This window comes from Homo sapiens, chromosome 13 (genome assembly GCF_000001405.40).
Source record: "Homo sapiens chromosome 13, GRCh38.p14 Primary Assembly".
NCBI lineage: Eukaryota > Metazoa > Chordata > Mammalia > Primates > Hominidae > Homo > Homo sapiens.
In genome coordinates this window covers 71614154-71632957 of record NC_000013.11, presented here as the reverse complement: position 1 = coordinate 71632957, position 18804 = coordinate 71614154, and the positions used below count along the sequence as shown (strand labels likewise).

At 33.9% G+C, this 18804-nt stretch overlaps 1 protein-coding gene across 7 annotated transcripts in view, besides 1 other annotated feature; it reads left to right on the top strand.

Moving 5' to 3' along the window:
* Nucleotides 1-18804, top strand: part of DACH1 (dachshund family transcription factor 1) — a 429239-nt gene that overhangs the window by 234247 nt on the left and 176188 nt on the right. For 5 of the 7 annotated variants that reach the window (NM_080760.6, NM_080759.6, NM_001366712.1 and 2 more), the window contains one exon: nucleotides 2241-2402. The exons of 1 other annotated variant lie outside the window; for it this stretch is intronic. In NM_080760.6, coding sequence (NP_542938.3) covers nucleotides 2241-2402 — 162 coding nt within the window. Of the gene's footprint in view, nucleotides 1-2240; nucleotides 2403-6333; nucleotides 9996-18804 lie in introns of those variants that run through there. One more of the 7 variants, XM_011534941.3, reaches the window with a different exon arrangement.
* Nucleotides 11527-11821: a silencer, noted in NCBI's record as "tiled region #6884; HepG2 Repressive non-DNase unmatched - State 24:Quies". NCBI's record gives its function as "represses a minimal TATA promoter and a strong SV40 promoter by Sharpr-MPRA in HepG2 cells {active_cell/tissue: HepG2}" and the evidence as "EXISTENCE:reporter gene assay evidence [ECO:0000049][PMID:27701403]".

Sequence of the window (18804 nt, the reverse complement as noted above, 5' to 3'; positions counted from 1 at the left end):
CAAAGAGACTTTTAAGAGAACAGGAAAGAAAATTTTCTGAAACATCTTTGAAGGAAATGAGTAATTGGGGAGAAAATTCAATCATAGGAAGATGAGAGAATCAGTTCAAGTTGAGACTTAAAAGGCAATGAATGTTCAGATCAAACCCAGATGGATTCTTTGAGTTTAGATTAGTGCCTTTTAAGGGGTGATTATCAGTTTTTCATGTAAAGACCCAATCTGAAGGTCTTGTTGCGTTGGGGTGAAAGTTGTCAGGGCCTCTTTGGTCTGATCTGAAGGAAAGGTGAAGTCTTCTTCTAACCTCTAAAAAGCCAGCAGAGATTTTCATGGAAAAATACTTCCTTATAATTCCTTGGGCAGTAACTTATTTGCTAGAATAACTAGAAGTGATGATTAGTGGGGAGGAAAAGGAGGAGAGCGGTGCTCAGGCTCTAATCCACCAGCTGGGATTGGAAATAAATCACACAGATAAATTCGAACGGCTGGAGCACTGTAGTCAAAAATACTAAAGAAGCCACAGTAAAAAAAAAAAAAAAAAAAATGGGTGGGGTTGGGGATATTTATCTTCTCATAGACTTAAGGTTTTAGAATTAGGAGAGATCATTTATACATTCCAGTGTCTGTCATTTTGCAGATGAGGGATGTCAGCCTGAAGTGAACTGACTTGGCAAAAGTTCACACATTTAAGCAAGACAAACCACTCCCCTGCTCAAAAACCTCTGCTTATTATCTCTCTATATAAATATATAAAGTCAGAACAGCATGGTCTTAATTCTGATCTTCCGAGATCTTGTCTCAAACTCTGTTTCTTTTCTTTTTTTTTGTCTTTTTCTTTTCTTTCCTTTTCTTTTCTCTTCCTTTCTTTTCTTTTTTTGGGACAGAGTCTCACTCTGTCACCCAAGTGTGCTCACAGCTTACTGCAGCCTCAACCTCCTAGGCTCAACTGATTCTCCTACCTCAGCCTCCTGAGTAGCAGAACTACAGGCACAGGCCAGCATGCCCAGCTACTTTTTGTATTTTTTGTAGAGAGGGGGTTTTATCCTGTTGCCCAGGCTTGTCTCAAACTCCTGGGCTCAAGGGATCCGCCTGTCTCTGCCTCCCAAAGTGCTGGGATTATAGGCATGTGCTACTGCACCCGGCTCAAACTCTATTTCTAATTTAATGTCTGCCTCTACCCCCTGTTCTCTGGATGGATGAAGATGAACTATTCTGGACAAATTTTCTTTGCATAGTGGTTCAAAGTGTCAACTCCGAGGCCAGAGTGTGCTGTTTCAAATCCTGTGCCATGGTTTTCTAATCTGTAAAGTAAGGATAATAGTGATCAATCACAGAGGGTTATTAAGATGATTAAGCTACTTTTATGTCACTTAAATCAGCACTTAAATTTCATAACTAGAAGCTAAGTGTTAGCTTTCATTACATTGTATTTTATTTTTTAACACCTTAAACACTGGGAATAGCAAGCTGTGTAGCAACACATGCTTCCTGCCATTGAGTAGTTCACAATCTAGTGAGGAAAACAGGTGTCCCAACAGACCATTCCAGTGCAGGGTGGCATGTCCTATAACAGCAGCACAGGTATAAACGTGGGTCAGGGGGAGAAGAACAGACCAGGCATCCAGGCAGCTGGGGGCCATGGAATGGGAAGACTTCTAATGAGTAGCTTTTTTCAGGAGGATGAAAAGTCAAGGAAATGTTTGTCATAGGGCAAGAAGGTTCCAGGCAAAAGGGAATGGCATGTGTGAAAGCACATGCTTGAAGATGCAGGTCATGTATGGGTAATGGTGACATCTGTGATATAGCCAGGGTGTGGATGACAATGAAGAAACTGGGTGAGGAAGTAGGTTTACACTCCTTGTGAAAGGCCTTGTGGATTCAGTTAACAGTTCAGATTTTTCCCTCCGTGTAGGCAGCTACAGGGGATTTTAAGCAGGAAAAGACATATTTAGATTCGTAGATTGGTTTCTTTAAGAGATAACTGTCGCTGCATTTCCACTATTAGCCTTCTACCTGTGAATTGTGTTTCTGTTAATATTTAATTTTGGACTGTAGCAATCAATCTCCCCCTTATATCAATGTTGTTTCATTGTCTAGTTGGGAATGAGTATAAGTTATCAAAGTGTTGCATAAAGGAATCAGATACTCTAATAAATGTTTGTATGTTGGTTATAGCAAGTACAGGAACTATTAAATGAAAAATCAGAATTTGAATTACCTCATTTTTAATTTATTCTTTTAAGGTCTGACAGCAGCCGCTGCAGCAGCTGCTGCTGCTACCAATGCAGCTATTGCTGAAGCAATGAAGGTGAAAAAAATCAAATTAGAAGCCATGAGCAACTATCATGCCAGTAATAACCAACATGGAGCAGACTCTGAAAACGGGGACATGAATTCAAGTGTCGGTAAGTTTTATGTTCGCTGAAACTTATTGTGATCACTTTGCTACTGAATTACAGTAAATGCTTTTCCAGAACAAAACTGTTGGCTACCCATTCAAAAAGTTGGCACTTTTAGCTTGAAAACACTGTATGTTTGAGGATACCATTTTGCCTCTCTAACAACTAATGATAATTGTTCATTCTAAAGGAATAATTAGCAACATTATTTTTAATTATAGGATCAACTTTATGTCTGCAACTTCTAAAATCATTCAGCTAACATCTTTTATAATACAAAGTTTAATCAAGAGAATTCTAAAACATTGAGAGTAGCTAAGGTGACAGAGAAATATGTACAAAGGAAACCCTAGACTTTACTTTTTTATTCTTTTAATCCATTTGTTATCAAGTAAGAAACTTACTACCATTGGCAGCAAAACATATAAACTTAGCCCTTTCATATGCTGCCCAGAATACAGATTATGTTGATGATTAATTCTTTCTATAGATAATGGTTACCAAGGTCTCTCCTTTTAAAAATATGACTTTAATTTTCTTGATTTTTTTTCTTTCCTACCATATGGAGAAAGATGAAAAGTTAACTGTCACTGTCAAACCAAAAGGGACAGTTTTACCTGTGCCAACTATCCATTTGGGTAATTCATTTTGTCAAACACAACTTCAAATATGGGTTAATTTTTGTATTAATGAAATCCTTAGCATCTGGATGTTGTGGGGCAAAACATTTTTTTTCTGCTATTGCACTTGTATTGTTTCTCTTTAAAATACAGTGACCATGCTCAAAATATAATTAACAAGAGAAATTTGGATACTACAAGATGTATGCAAGATACTATAGCCAATGTATATTTATGAAGACCCTAATAACTCACGGCCATTCAGTTAAATTCTCTTTTCCATGCAGCATTTTCATAGATTATTTCTTAAGTTAATTGTCAGCTCTCTACTTTCAATCCATTAAGACATAGTTAAGGGTATATAAAGGAATACTGTGGATTTTAGTAACAATCATTTTCACAAGAGCTGTCTGGAAACATACACAGACATGAATATTAGAGTAAAATATATAGACAAAACACAAAATACTGTTTCAGTGATGCTAAAAGGCAGCTTTTGTAATGTAAAAAGGGGAAAAATGCATCTTTTCAGCACAACTATGTAAGGGAAATTGCAAAGGACCAGCAGTAGTGGATTTGAATGGAGAGTAGGTGTGAGTGCGAGTTCCTAGACGGATGAAAAGACATGGAAGAGAGCCAAAAGAGATGGCCCTACAACTGCAGAGGACTAAGGATAATATCTGTGCTCATGTTTGTAATGCTCCTGGAGGGAAGACAGGGAGGGATGAGGATTGTTTCGGTCATGGTTTACACACATATATTTAGACATTTAAAAATTAAAACAGAATTGAAGCAAAATGCAAGAATTATAATTCTGTTTTTAGAACTATTACTTTAAAGTAAAAGCCTTTTATTAGACTGAGAAAATGGGGCACTGTTGGACACTTTTTAAAACAAGTAATTAGCCACTTATACATTATATCTATTATTACAAAACAATCTGGATTGTTTTCAAAATTTTAGAAAAGGAGGCTGTTCATGAAGGCTGTTCTTAATAGTTGGTTTTATGAGAAGGGATTCTTAAAATAGGCAATTTAACAACATTTAAAGCAAAACACATTAAAACATGGTATCTCTGTTTGAATTTTCCAGAGCAGAAGTTGGCTTTGCAGAAATCAACAGGCATAAGATAAAGAGAACATGGTTCATAATTAAGCATCAACATATTTTTCATATTTGATAGTACATGACAATATTTGCCTACTAACCAAATTGTAGCTTACTTTAATTATTTTGGTACGTAGCCTATCGCAATGACTTAAAAACAAACAATTTGAATTTTCTTTTGTATTTTAGCTGGAATAAATGACTTTTTTTCATTAAGGTATGCAGTTGATGGATATTACTATTTTTTAGTTTTGACACCCCCCATCCAACGCCAAAATGAACCAAGAGCAGAAATTTACTTGAATTTTCCTAGAAAGTCTTAATAGTTTGAGATTGTGCTAACATAATATCGGTGTTGCTGCTAGTCCCTAAGGCATTCAGGTCATTTATATTAGATATCTGTAGCTGATTTGGGCAAAAAGATGTTATCATTGTAATTTTCATCCTATTCTCACATGCTGCTGTCCTCTAAGAATTTCCAATTTATAATATCCTTCCTGAACACCTTCACCCCAGGTATATATCTAGAGATCAAGTAAAGTGATTTTGGGAGGGATGTGGTAATGGGGGAGGTACAAAGCAGTGGTGAAGGTGGGGGTTGAGCTGCATCAAAGATCAAAGCAATTCCTGAATTGCAGCTTTGATGGCCACAATCTTCTCTGGTTCTGAGGACAATGCCTGCCTCTTGGTAAGTGTTCAGTAATGACTTGCTCTGTGACTTTGTAAAGTATGTAAACTTTCTGAGCCCAAAACTCCATATCTGAAAAATGGCATAAATAATAGTATCATATCATGAGAATTAAAATACTTGTCACATTATTTATTACAATGTCTGCTTATCAAGTTGTTTGGTCATCAGTAAGGTTGGTAGATTGGGGATTGCTTTTGCTATTATTATTATGATTTCTTCAAATCTGTCCTCCTGGAAATCACCTTCTTCCTTTCTTACCACCATCAACTGCTTCCACCTGCTTTTCCATTGTCTCTGGTAGCTATTACTTGCTAAGCTGCAGGCCTGTGAGGAGATTTCAGGGCAGCTGTTGCATCTTAGAGATTTTGTAGGACATTCAATATTAGCTCATTCTAGGAATACAAAAATAATCACAACACAGGCCCAGGACTCAGGGGCATACAGTCTATGGATGAGATAGGTAGGTAAGCAGGCAGTCATAACAGGATGTGCTGAATCCTCCAGGAGAACCGATTACCATGAAGTGGTTAGGAAGCGGTGCTGAAGCACATGAATTCTAGAAGGAATCCCAAGAATCTCCAAGGCCTATATTTTAGAATACAGACTGCTCTCATGAATCTATCAACTGTTGACTCTTTGAAGTAGTGAAACCCTTCAGAGGGGTGCTACTTAAATGATGTATTGTTGCTACTCAGTCTTGCCCAAATCCGGTGACATTTCTGAAGACAATTCAAGGCTCTTGTTTTCTCCTGCACTCATCTAGCTCATAAGTTCTGTTAAACATTTTAGGCTTTTTTTTTTTTTTTTTGTAAGAGCGTTGTTTTTTTCCTTGATTGTAAATGAATCCTTAAAGCCCCAGATAACAGATTATGTTTTTGCTTTGTTTGGTTTGATTTGCTGGGTAAGACGACAGGAAAAATTTGTATCACACAACCCTTCCCGGTTCATAATAGGAACCTTAGAAATTAGCCAGAAAAAGATGTTTAAAGAAAGCTTTGACAATGGTGAATAATTATTTTATATCCCAATTTTACATGGTAACCTTGAGCTCATATCTTTCCAACAAAATGATCACTTTAGGAGGAAGTGAGCACCTGAGGATAGATCCGAGTGAGGCATCAGCACACTGAGTAAAATATATGGCCATGTCGCCATTCTCCCTCATCCACAATCAATTGGATTCTTTTAGTTTAATATTTACTTGCTAAGATGAGATGCTAGTCTGCATGGTGATAAACAGTCTGCTCTTGGCATCTGAAGGTGACCTGTCAGTTCATATGGACAAATCTCCTGCTTACTGAAATGTACAAAATAAATCATTAAAGCAGGCAGGTGCTCATTCCCAGATTTAAATCACCATAGATTTATGATTTGAATTAATGCTTCATTTGGCCATAGAAATAGATGCTGAGACAGATGATATGCACTGGTTGGGGTTTCCATACTGTAGCCATCCTGATATTGATTACTGAGATGTCTTTGCAATCTCTTGTTTATATCAAGTACTATCTTGTGACAGGTTGGCTGATATGAGCTACATTGCAGATAAGAAGGAAAAATGTCCTGGATTCTTTTTAGTGGCAACACTATCCACAACATACAGGCCAGATAAGTTGCTATTTTTTTTGCTTTAAGGACTGATCTACATAACCAGCTTAAAAAATGCTGCTTGGAAATTGGGACTGGGATAATGCAAAGGCGGAATTTAAAACCGGTGAACCCAAGGTCAATTTGATAGTGTCTATAGCTATGTTTTAATCTGTTTATCCTTTTTTTGGCATTATGCACACTTTTGAGAATACTAAATTAATCACAATCAGTTTAATCTAAATAAAGGAAACTTAATTTTACTTCTAGTTTTTAAATAGTATATAAATATTGACATAGTGAGCATCTCTTAATCGTTTCTATGTTATTTAAATACTTGCTAAACCTAGTATCTTACTCCCTTCCTTAATGACAACAAAGGAAGTAACTCTTTAAAGATAAATACATTAAATATTATTCCCAAGTGCAACATTTTGTGGAGTATAATTTACCAAGAGGCAGGAAAAGACTGCATTTTTACTTCTCTTAACATTTTATTTAAGGAAAACACTATGTATACAGTTTAAAAAATACTTGGAGGATTTAAGAGGGACCTTTGCCACTAGCTAATATCTGACTCATAGAACTGGTAAACAGCTATCAACAATAGTAGATTGCTTGCTTAGTAGGAAATGAGTTCATATCTATTCAAAATGTAATCTCAAAACAGATGTCCCAAGAAAATCTCATTGTTTAAACCATAGTCATAACCTTCTAACTGCTGTAATTTCTTTAAGGAAGGGAAGTACTTGTAAGACTTTAGTATTTTCTCTTTCTGAACATTGTGGAACATAGGCAAGGGTACACTAATGCCCTGATCAACAAACCTGAACACATTTCACATGCTCAAAACATATGATTGTTTTTCATTTTCTCAAACTTGTAATCGTTACAAGAATGTAGAAGTTTCAAGTAAGATTAAGGACTTGAGTTTGAGAATAAAGCCGTCACCTTCAAGGGTATTTATCACTCCTTAGTTCTTCTATTCCTCAACCAATAAAACAAAACAAATATATGAAGGGAAAAAAAGCCAGGCAGTTAAAGAGATAAAATTATCTTCTTCAGCTCACCCTACTCTTATCTTTCTTTAATTTTAACCATTCCTGCAGAAACAAAATAGTTTATGCTGGAGTCATTTCCTTTCTTCTAACACATGTGTCTATTTGGAAGGAAAAGATTAATTTTATGATTTCAGGAAAAACTCTTGGAGACCTTGAGAAAGCAAATAAAAGGAAACTGAGAACGCAGGCCACCAAGCAGAGCTCTGCAATTGCACATTGGATTCTCTGCCTTGGCAATGTTAATGAACCTCAAATCCTTCCTATAATTAGATGAGGGAATTGCTTATATTTTCAAACAGATGATGCTGCTATAATGAAACGATTGACAGGGAATTTAAGAGTGTCTACAGTAGTCATTTGGTTTCTGTTATAAAAAAAAAGTTTAAAAAGAAGATTGGCTTTAGACATAGGTCCTGAGAGAGGTAGTAATTTACATAGCATGCTATGACAGGTGTCTTTGTATAGTAAGGAAATAAAATGGAAGACTAGAGAAATGATGGGCAGGTATAGCAATTTTTTCAGGGAGGGGGTGTCCTATGCTTATTCTGCTTAGGTTCTTTAAAAGGGGCCGAGACTCAAGAGATGGAGCCGGATTGAGTGCACAGCTGTAACTGCTGATGAGCTAATTGCTCCTTATCTCTCAGCCCCATTCATCTTCATTTTTTACCAATTACTGAGAATTATCTGTGTTCTCAGTTGGATATGAGAGTTAATCCTTTTTGGTTAAGCTGGCAGTACTGTGAGCAGATTCCAAATCGGAGGGTGAAAAAGCCAAAGCAAGCTTGCTCTAAAAATGTCTCCAGTTCAATTACAGTATCACTGATTCACAAGAAATTTGCTATTGTTTAACAGATTAAATGTAGAAAGTTTTTTTGTTTGTTTGTTTGTTTGTTTTGGTAACTAGAATGTTTTTCTGCCTAACAATGATTTTTAAGATCTTTCTTCCTGCCTGGTGAGTAAAACTTAACAATATTAACAGCCAGTCTTGTAAACGTGGAGCATATACAAGACTACCCTAAAAGTCCAGAAAGATTCTGACACATGAAATGAGAAATATTTTAGAACTGATAGCTGTCAATTAATATATAAGTAGTTTAATTAATGAATTTGCTCTCTGTAGCTTCACATGTGGTCAAGAAAGTATGTTCAAATATAAATCTTTTCACAAATGTCCCATTAGTGGATATTTTAATGGAAGACCACATAAGCATCTCTTAAAAGTATAGGAACCACCATGGTTTGTAATTCAATTGATTAAGAATAGGCCATATGGTTAATATCATCCCCTATGCAAAAGATATCTTCATATCCTGAAATTTTTACACAAAATTGCTTACCCCAATAATAAAAGACAAAAAATGTACTAAGCTACTATTCCATCAATTTAAATGCATTTTTAAATATTTACTATTTATGGCAATTTTTCTTCATTATGTATTTTAAACAAGATAGAGAATTACCAGTTTGACAATGATTAGGAATGTTGTTATTAAAACAGTATGTGCACTTCACTTTCAACAGCTTTGAATTAGAGTCTAATGTGAAAATCTAAAGGATAAATGGCTAATTTAATACAAGATTATCAAAACATCATTGTGTAAAATGTGAATATGTTATTGTGTGACCAAGTAAGTCCTTCTAGACACAGCCAAAAACTCAGGTAGGGGAGCAGAGAGCAAAATAAGTCAGAAGATTTAGCTTCCAGTAATAATGTAGTTAATAAATAACTTAACTACTTAGATAAGTCACTTAACTGCTCGTCTTTTTTATTTAATAAATAAGGAATTTTTGCCTAATTTCTCTGTTGGCTCTAAAATTCTTTGATTTTTGAAACCTCAATAAAAGATAAAGGGCAAAAAGATATTTTTGACAGTAATTTTTAAAATAAAAAATCAGAAGTAACCACATGTTCCAAAACAAGGCATCCTTAAGTATACTATAACATCTATTTACATATTATGCAAGCATTATATGATGGATAAGTATTGACAGTATTTATTTTGAATATAAAAAAAGGATGATGCCACTTTTTCTACCTTGGTACTATGTATCCTTTTCATTAGGGTTTGGAAGAGGCTAAATAAGAGTTAACATTGCTATGTTATTGTGGAAAAATTATGAATATTAAAAAATATAGCTTAAATTAGATTATTTTAAAATGTCATATGAGTATATTAATAACTGATCATTTTATGAAGCTCTTTTTCATTATTTTCTAGAAATTGGATAGCATTATTCTGCATTTTCTCTCATAATTTGTTTTTGATCTTTATTGTTCATGTAAAGGAATAGAAACATTAATGATGGCAACAGGTGACTGTGGAAAAATACATTTCTATATTAAAAAAATCATTTTTCACTTTGAAATATTTGAACACATATTCTTAAATCCATTTCTATATGTAATAAAATCATTACAGCATGATTTATAACATGTACTAGTTTCCTATATAAACTATTAAATGTATTTTTGATGCAGATAAGCAGAAGGCAGAAAATATTTTTATTTTTGAATGTGATGTCTATTCCACTTCATGAAAACTTTTTTTTACTTATATGGACAGTTGGAGAACATAATTCAAAAATATTATGCAATGTTTTTGTTTTGATTTCAATATTGCTAATTCTAACTAATGACTAGATAATAGAGTAAACCTGTTAATTCAAGCATATCATATTAGGAAATAAAAGTTAAGTGATTTTATTTGACACTATATCCTCATGTAATTATAAAATATAAGGATGTATATAGGATGTATCATATATATAGGATATATCCTAATGAATATGTTATGTGGTAGACTCCATTACATTCCAGGAGGATGAATATGTTTTCATCATGGAAAGTCCTGGAAATGGTAATTATCAACCTACAAAAACATGCTATACTGTTTACGTAAAGTTTGTAAAGAAAGTAAAAAGAAACCACATATTTCAGTGTAAAATAACCCCAGGTCATATTCAATTTGTTTAAGATCAGACAATTCTTTTTTTCTTCATTAATATGATACTCGATTGTTTTATATTTGAATTTCATATGATTGATGATGAGGGATTAAAATAAATATTTAACTTTGTTTTATAAAATATAATGTTTGCTAATACATATTTTTAAATATCTCATAATGTCTTGATATTAAAAATATATGTTTAGAGATTTTACTAGGGTGTTTGTAGTCCAATATTGTTTTGAATGTGTGCACACAAGCTTATAACTCTGAGCCCAATGCACCTGTCACCAGACCTAGTATTTCACATTCACGTGACCGTGATTCATCTCTCAGTTGTACAAATATTCCCAAATTATACAAAACCATTTGTATCAATCATGACATGTGAAATCTAATATAAAATAGTGAAACTAAGCGATAATAAATAAATAATATAGTAGTTGACATAAATGTCTAAAAATGTCAATTCATTAAGATGAAATAATGTAGCACACATAGTTTTGCGTGCTCTTTATGCCCCATCCCCACTAAATGAACCCAGATAATTTGGAAGATAGGAAAGAACGGAGGATTTAAATATGGTTTTCTTTAACAGCAGGTCATAATGGAAACACAGACCCTTACATTCAGTGCTGAGAGAATTACCAGTTTGATAATGATTAGGAATGTTGTTATTAAAACAGTATGTGCAGTTCATTTTCAACAGTTTTGAATTAGAGTCTGCACTAATGAAACGGATACGGTTTCCTTCACAAAGGGCAGATCTGTTAGTTAATATCGCTGCAGCAGTGCCTCGCAGACCATGCCTTTAGCTCTATTTGTATTTCACAGCATGATAAGCAAAGAGTGTTGATTTTCAAGGATCCTGCTGATGAAAGGTAATGGCATTATTACATCTTTATCTCAAAAGCAGAACTGAGTGGTAAATGATTTTTTTCTATGTTGCACAAAAGATTTCTTGGTTAGAAAGCCTTTTTTATTTCTTTACATCGTTTTAGTCTTGGAAATGATATGTTATTATTTAATGTCTGCACAGCAAGCTTGAAAGCACCTAATAGCGAATGGATTGGAAGTGAAGTACCTCCTGCTCACAGATATGGATCTTCTCAGTCACACGCTGTACCAGCTGTCATCCCAGCCATACTGCTGTGATTTAATTAGTCTGTTTATGTCCTTTCTAATAATATTTCCATCTCTATGAAAGGGCAAATGCGACAGGGACTTTTTCCCTTTTTGGTTCTGCAGACTAAAGAATGTGGCCTATATCTGATATGTGGGGATGCAGGATTGAATCACCATTCCTGTCACTTCAAGCTGTTGATAAATTGTTCGGCCAAAAAGTGTAGTGTACTTACTTCCTTGGGGTCATTTGTAGGCTGGGAGTAATAGCTGCATAGCGACAAAGAAGTGTGTGTGTGTGTTTGTGTGTCCAGTTATATACATTATATATGTAATATATACAACATATATATGCACATAGATAACATATGTGTGTTTAAAAGTTTAAAAATTATAAGAAAATGTGTACTTTGCATTTTTATCTACCTCATGCATGGCTTTATGGCACATATTTAAGTCTTTTTATCAATTGAGTTCATCTATAATTGCAGCATTTCAGGAATTCTCAGGAAAATGTTTCACTTTTCTAAGTAAAACTTTAAAAAAAATAAATAATTCATCTATGATTTTACTTCTACATCAGTATAGATTATGATCTTTGGAGAAAATATATGTTTCATACTGGAAGATACTACATTTTAAGATATCTGAGAAAGACATCATCATCCTCATAAAACATTTAATATTTATATCTTTACTTAGATTTTTTTCAGAAAGCATATTTAACTTAAAATGATAGCTGAAGTTCAAAACATCACACTGAACACACAAAATTATGTAAGTATATGTAAATTAATAAACAAATGTAAAAGTGTTATGACATTATTTAATATAATGTGCTGATTAATAATTTATACTCAGGCAGTATGCCATCTGAGTGACAAGCCTACTTGAAAATCCAGTGGCCTTAGAAATTTTCTTCTGCTTTCAGATTCTATGACCCTATTATGTTCAGAAGACAGATCCATATAATAGAGCTGAGGGGAAAAAAAAGATAGATTTTCAAAATCAATTTCAATAGTTTTCATTTTACTCATGTTTGTTTTTGGGAGAAATAGTCTTTATTATTTATAAATAATCTGTTAATCAGTTCTATGTGTTTTAGTCTGCTTTTTGGAAATAGTTTAGTGTTTCTTCATCTCTCTATAGTTTAAGTGCTGAACTTGTGTCACAAGGACTTCTAGATTATCTTGCTTTTGCTTGTATCTTTCTGTTTTTGCTCGCTCATGCTTCACATTTGCATATCCTAACTATATTTTTGGAAATGGCCTTATTAAAACAATGGGTCTATCAGATAATATAAGTCTGATATTCACTTTACATAAAAATATTAAAGTTAAACATCTTATCAAGGTGGTCAAATTAGTTTGTAAATTATTTTCTTTAGCAATCTGAATCTCAGCCTCCTACAGTTACCAGTTTTAAAAACACACACAGGCACATGTTTAGTTTCTTCTGGTACTTTCACATACCTGCCACTGTCCAAGCCTATGTCTATATCAAGAGAAAAAGCTATCGTCTAGAATATATTAAAATACATGTATCAAAATGAGTGTAAATATTATACAATTTCCTATTTCTATTAGTACATATTGGCACTGTTTTCTATTGTTTAGAATCCTTACTTGATAATATATGACCTTAGCAATTACATAACTTAGCTAGACACTCATACACAAACCCCACATAATTGAATCCCTCCTACATTTCAGCTTCCAAGAATCTCTCATTAACTTAATACAAATATAAACTGAATTTACTGAATATATTCATTTTTGTAATCTGTTTTCTTAATTATTTTATTTTGGGAAAATATAGATATATCTACTGTCTTTTCACTGAAGTACAATTTCAATTTCTCTACATTTACTCTGCTGTTGAACCTAAATGTTGACGATTAAGTTATCTTGACATGAACCATTTGATGCTTTGAAAAAACCCACCATGAAGCATTTGATGGTATTTTTTATTAATTGGATAAATGAATTGTGAGATGTGTGATTGCATGATGATGTACTCATTTAGTTGTTGCTTTTTGCTTTTACTAATCTCTGTCATATTGGATTTATAAATGGAACAGAGTGACCTTTGAAACTGTGATGGAAATGAAGAGATAAACACAACTTGAAAGGACAAACCAATTAATATCAATGTGTTTGTTACACATACATGAGGAATTTTAATCCTTTGCTCTCTGCAGTACATTTGTGGTTCATTTGTTGAGTAAGGGAGCATACTTTTTTATAGTTACAGATTTAGATCTTACTTTTTCTAAAATATATAAATTTATATGTCACCATATATATATATACACACATATATATATAAAACAGAATTAGATTATTTTTAGTGCATAAAATGTTTTCAGCACTACCTTTAAAAATTTTGACAATATAGCCTTTCTAGAAAACATTTAAATATGTATTCACACCTATGCAAAAAAAAATGCATATAAGGTATTCATGTGCATTCATCTTATGTATTTTAAATATAAATACATTGTAATCTTAAGTGCAGTAAATTATTGAATAGACCTTGGTTTTGTAAATTTAGACACATAATTGATCCTCTGCCATTGTCCCTAGAATACTTTCTAAAATTCCTGATTCAGGGATCATCAATAAAGCATTTATTATTTTAACCCATTGACCTGTAATATTAAAAAGTATTTTTTAAAATCAACAATTATACTTGAGTAGGCTTTTAAAATAAAATCTGAGCAGTCATTTATACATTATTTTTACCTCGTGCCTTCCCCAGTTTTTATGTAATTAGGTTTATTTTTCTTAAAAAAAAACCCTAATTCTGCTGTAGTGTGGATTTTAGTACACTTGCACATTCTACTTCATTTAATAGCTTAATTATAGAATATAATCAATTTAATATGCAGGTTTTGAAATATTGCCATTGATGCACAACAAGGAAAAAAGTAATACAAGCTTGACATTTTGAAACACTAGCATTGAAAGACTTTAACTTCTAATTGATTTTTAAAAGAGTTCCCTGGAAAAGTGAGCTCAGAAATGTTTATAACAGCTTTGGCAACATTCCAAAATGTTTACCACAAAGCATAACTCAGCAGTTTCTGAGTTTTTCTATCAACTAAGAAAGATGTGTCCTATAATTGGCTTAATCCATGTTGATATTGAACCCCCCACACAGATGTTATCTTTTTAAAGACATAAATTCTCAAAATGATCACTTCAATATAAGAAATGGCTTCACTTTTTCCAACCAGGGAAAAATTCTGAACAAGAAAGTTATGGATGAGCAAGGGGTATATCTTTATATTTTGTGAAATTACATATTTTATTTCCTCCTTGCCCTTCCAAACCTTGTTTAGTAAAGCTGACAAAAAGAGGATGCATTTTAGATATATTAATATCATAGTCACTTACGGTTGACTGTAGGTGTGAAAAACTTCCACAGCCAGCTAAAATGTTAATGGATATGACATCCATTTTATTTTAACAAGTGAGCAGACCAAAACAAGTAACATTGAACGCAGAAATTATTTTAAAAGGCTACTGCTAAGTATTTTTTTTAAAAATGATTCTGTTGACTAGTTGTTTGTCAGTTCCTGTACTTTTTTTATTGATTGCTTTTGAATATATAGCCCCATGATTGATGCCAAGCCTACGTCCGTGAGTGAAAAGAGCTCAATTTACACAGAAAATGAATATACAAGCTTTATTTATATCTGTACTTTCTAATATTAATTTTGTAATGTGGTGTTTCTTTGAAAGAGGTCATAGAGTAGTTGTAAATGTTGTTAACTATTTTATTCTTCCGGGTCTTTGGTTTTAGCCTATTTGCTTTTTCACAGGTGTGATTCAGGGCAATAATGTGATATTTCAAAGTATGTTCAGCCAGAATGAATCACTTATTCATAAGCATTTCTTTTTTGAGATGAAGACTGCAGCATAATTGTATAACATCTACTTATTCCTCCAGGAATCTGGAGTGATTTGTGGTTTGAAATTTCTGTATCATAAACTCATGCAGTGCAGGCAGTATTACATTTAGTCAATAACCAGGAATTCTGATTAGTTGGCTGTAAATCATGAATGTTGAGAAATAAAGGTGACAAAAACAATTAATAAAAAAGAAATAAATTGATAAAAACAGGTAATACAGTAGACAGTATTCCCTAATTTGTCAAAACCATCTATAATCCAGCATGAGTTCTAAGAAATAGGTCTGCATGCAAATGTCCCTCAATACCAAATTCACATGTTTTGTAAAAAAATTTGACCCTGCTGGGCAGAGTGGCTCAAGCCTGTAATCCCAGCACTTTGGGAAGCCGAGGCAGGTAGATCACCTGAGGTCTGGAGTTCGAGATCAGCCTGGCCAGCATGGTGAAACCCTGTCTCTAATAAAGCCGGGCGTGATGGTGGGCACCTGTAATCCCAGCTACTCGGGAGGCTGAGGCAGGAGAATCACTTGAACCTGGGAGGTGGAGGTTGCAGTGAGCCAAGATCGCGCCATTGCACTCCAGCCTGGGCAACAAGAGCGAAACTCCATCTCAGAAAAAAAAAAAAAAAAATTGAACCCCGAAACTGCATTAGAAACAAATATTTAAATGTCATAATTCTCTCTCTCTCTCTCTTTCTATGTATATATATAGATATTCCCACTTTTACACTATTCTGAATCCAATACCCTATTCTTTTCTCATTTGTTCATTTTAGAGACAGGATCTCACTCTGTCATTCAGGCTGGAGTGCAGTGGCAGGAACCATAGTTCACTGCAGCCTCAACCCCTGGGCTCACATGATCCTCCTGCCTCAGCCTCCCAAGTAAATAAGACTACAGGCATATGCCACCACACCTGGCTATTTTTCTTTTTCTTGTAGAGACATTGTTGCCCAGGTTAGCCTGGAACTCCTGGCCTCAAACGATCCTCCCCTCTTGGACTCCCAAATTGTTGGGATTACTGATGTGAGCCACCACACCTGATCTTCTTTTCTCATTTAGAGAAAAACAAAATAAGCAAAAACTCCTGCACATAATGAAATTGGACATAACTTTCATTTCTTAGGCTACAATACTGTTCCAGTATAGACAGGTTTGACCTAAAATTCCAAGATGCATGCATACCTGTCCTTCATGCCTCCAGCTGTTCATGCATGCATCATTTCCTTTTCTGTTCATCCTCACACAGCTCCAGTTTCTTAATACTCTGTAATATCTACCTCTAGTCTCCCCAAAGCAATCTTTGGAAGTAAGGGGGAGGAGAGAGAGAGCCAAAACATGGAAGTGAAAATTGGGAAACAACAGAATGTTTGTGGTTCAGCATTAAAAATACAAAATCTGGTGCCATGTGGTTTTGGTGTAAAACATGACTTTTTTGTTTGTTTGTTTGTTTTTGCCATTGTTAGGACATTTTTGCCTTCTTACTTAGCCTCTATGAATCTCAGTTTCCTCATCTGTATAATAGGTATAACAATTTGAAATATTACATAGGGCTCTTTGGGGATTATTTGGGTTAAATTAGTTCTCTGAACACTGCTTGATACACTGCAATCACTATTCTAAAATTTCTTAAGTAGGTAATAGAAGTAAAATAATAAAGGTGTACATACACACACACACATGAACATTCATAGATGTCTTCTAAAAAGCTAAGACTTTCCAGTATTCCCAGAGTCTCAATGTTAGTTCAAATCATATAGAATATTGCCTCCTCTACATGCCCTCAACATTCATTTCTTATCCAAGATCTTCATTAGTTGATCATGACTGAATATTTATCCAAAGAGTGTCTTATGGATTATTTACTGCAGTCTCTGAGCCTGTGTCAAGCTCAGGAAATATGCTACAAGATTCAGATTACATTGCTACACTTTTTAAAAAGTACGGGCACACAGGAAGAGGAAAGTTGTCAGTTATTTCATCTGCATATTTTTAAAAATAAATCAATAATCAGCCAGTAAACTTTAATTGAAAAGTTTTGTCTCATTTTATGTTATCAGACAAAATATGTACTCCAGCTCTAAACACAGACATTACTTTATTCAGTGCACATAAGACTTCCTTTAATTAGCCCTTAATAAGCTTGGTTTAACTGGGATTTACCGAAGAACAGTGGTCATTAACATTAGCCAGATTAAGACTGTGTTAATTACTATTGATAGATAAAATAACGCCTAAAAATGGTTTAAATTATTTCTACACTTATGAATTGAAAAGAAGTTTGACACTTTTAAATAGAAGTTGTATTTTATTTATACTTTAACATTAAATAATGACTTCTTTACATGTAGGCCTACAACAATAGAACATAAGCTTTTATAGTTTAAGTTTTACAGCTTCTTTAGGTTTACCATAAACATGGGATAATCTTAAAATATAAATTTTGATTATTTCCTGGGATATAAATATGGAAATTTTTACATTTACTTTTATGATTTATGTTACATGATTTTAGTTAGAAACAGATACCTTACTTATACGTTATCTTCAGAAGACTTAGTTATCTTTTTTTAAAAAAAAAACTGATAGATTCAAATGATTTCTTGTATTTGGAGAGGATTTTGTTACATTTGTGGCTTTTTTTTTTTTTTTTTTTTGAGATAGAGTTTTAGTTTGTCACCCAGGCTGGGGTGCAATGGTGCAATCACGGCTCACTGCAACTTTGACCTGCTGAGCTCAAGTAATCCTCCTGCCTTAGCCTCCAGAGTAGCTGGGACTACAGGCATGCACCATCACACCTGGCTAATGTTTTTATTTTTTGTAGAGATGGAGTCTCACTGTGTTCCCCAGGATGATCTGGGACCCCTGGGCTCAAGTGATCCTCCTGCCTTGGCCTCCCAAAGTGCTAGGATTACTGGCACAAACCATTGCCAGGCATGAGCTGCCCTAGTTTTGGCATTTTTATATTAATGATGTCTTAATGTTTATCCTTAGCCTTGGTGTCACTTTTCCCCATCATATATGTGTGTTTAATAGTAACTGAAATTTGGGTTTTTTTTCCTCCATGTGCATAATTTCTTGGACATTATATCAAGTTAAGCTATTTCTCAGGATTCTGTAAATAGTTTCTGTGTTATCCATTCCTACATCCATTCTCTTGAAACTACTCTTGCAGAATAATAATATTTATTGGATTAATGTGTATGAAAGCAGGTCAACTACCCGTGAATTCTGGATAGACAAAACCAATGGAATTCTCCTCGTTTTCATTCTGCATAAAATTATGCAGTCCAATGGTTAAATTCTATAGTTAGTGGTAATATACTCTCCCCTCCATGATGATTTAAACCATTCTCT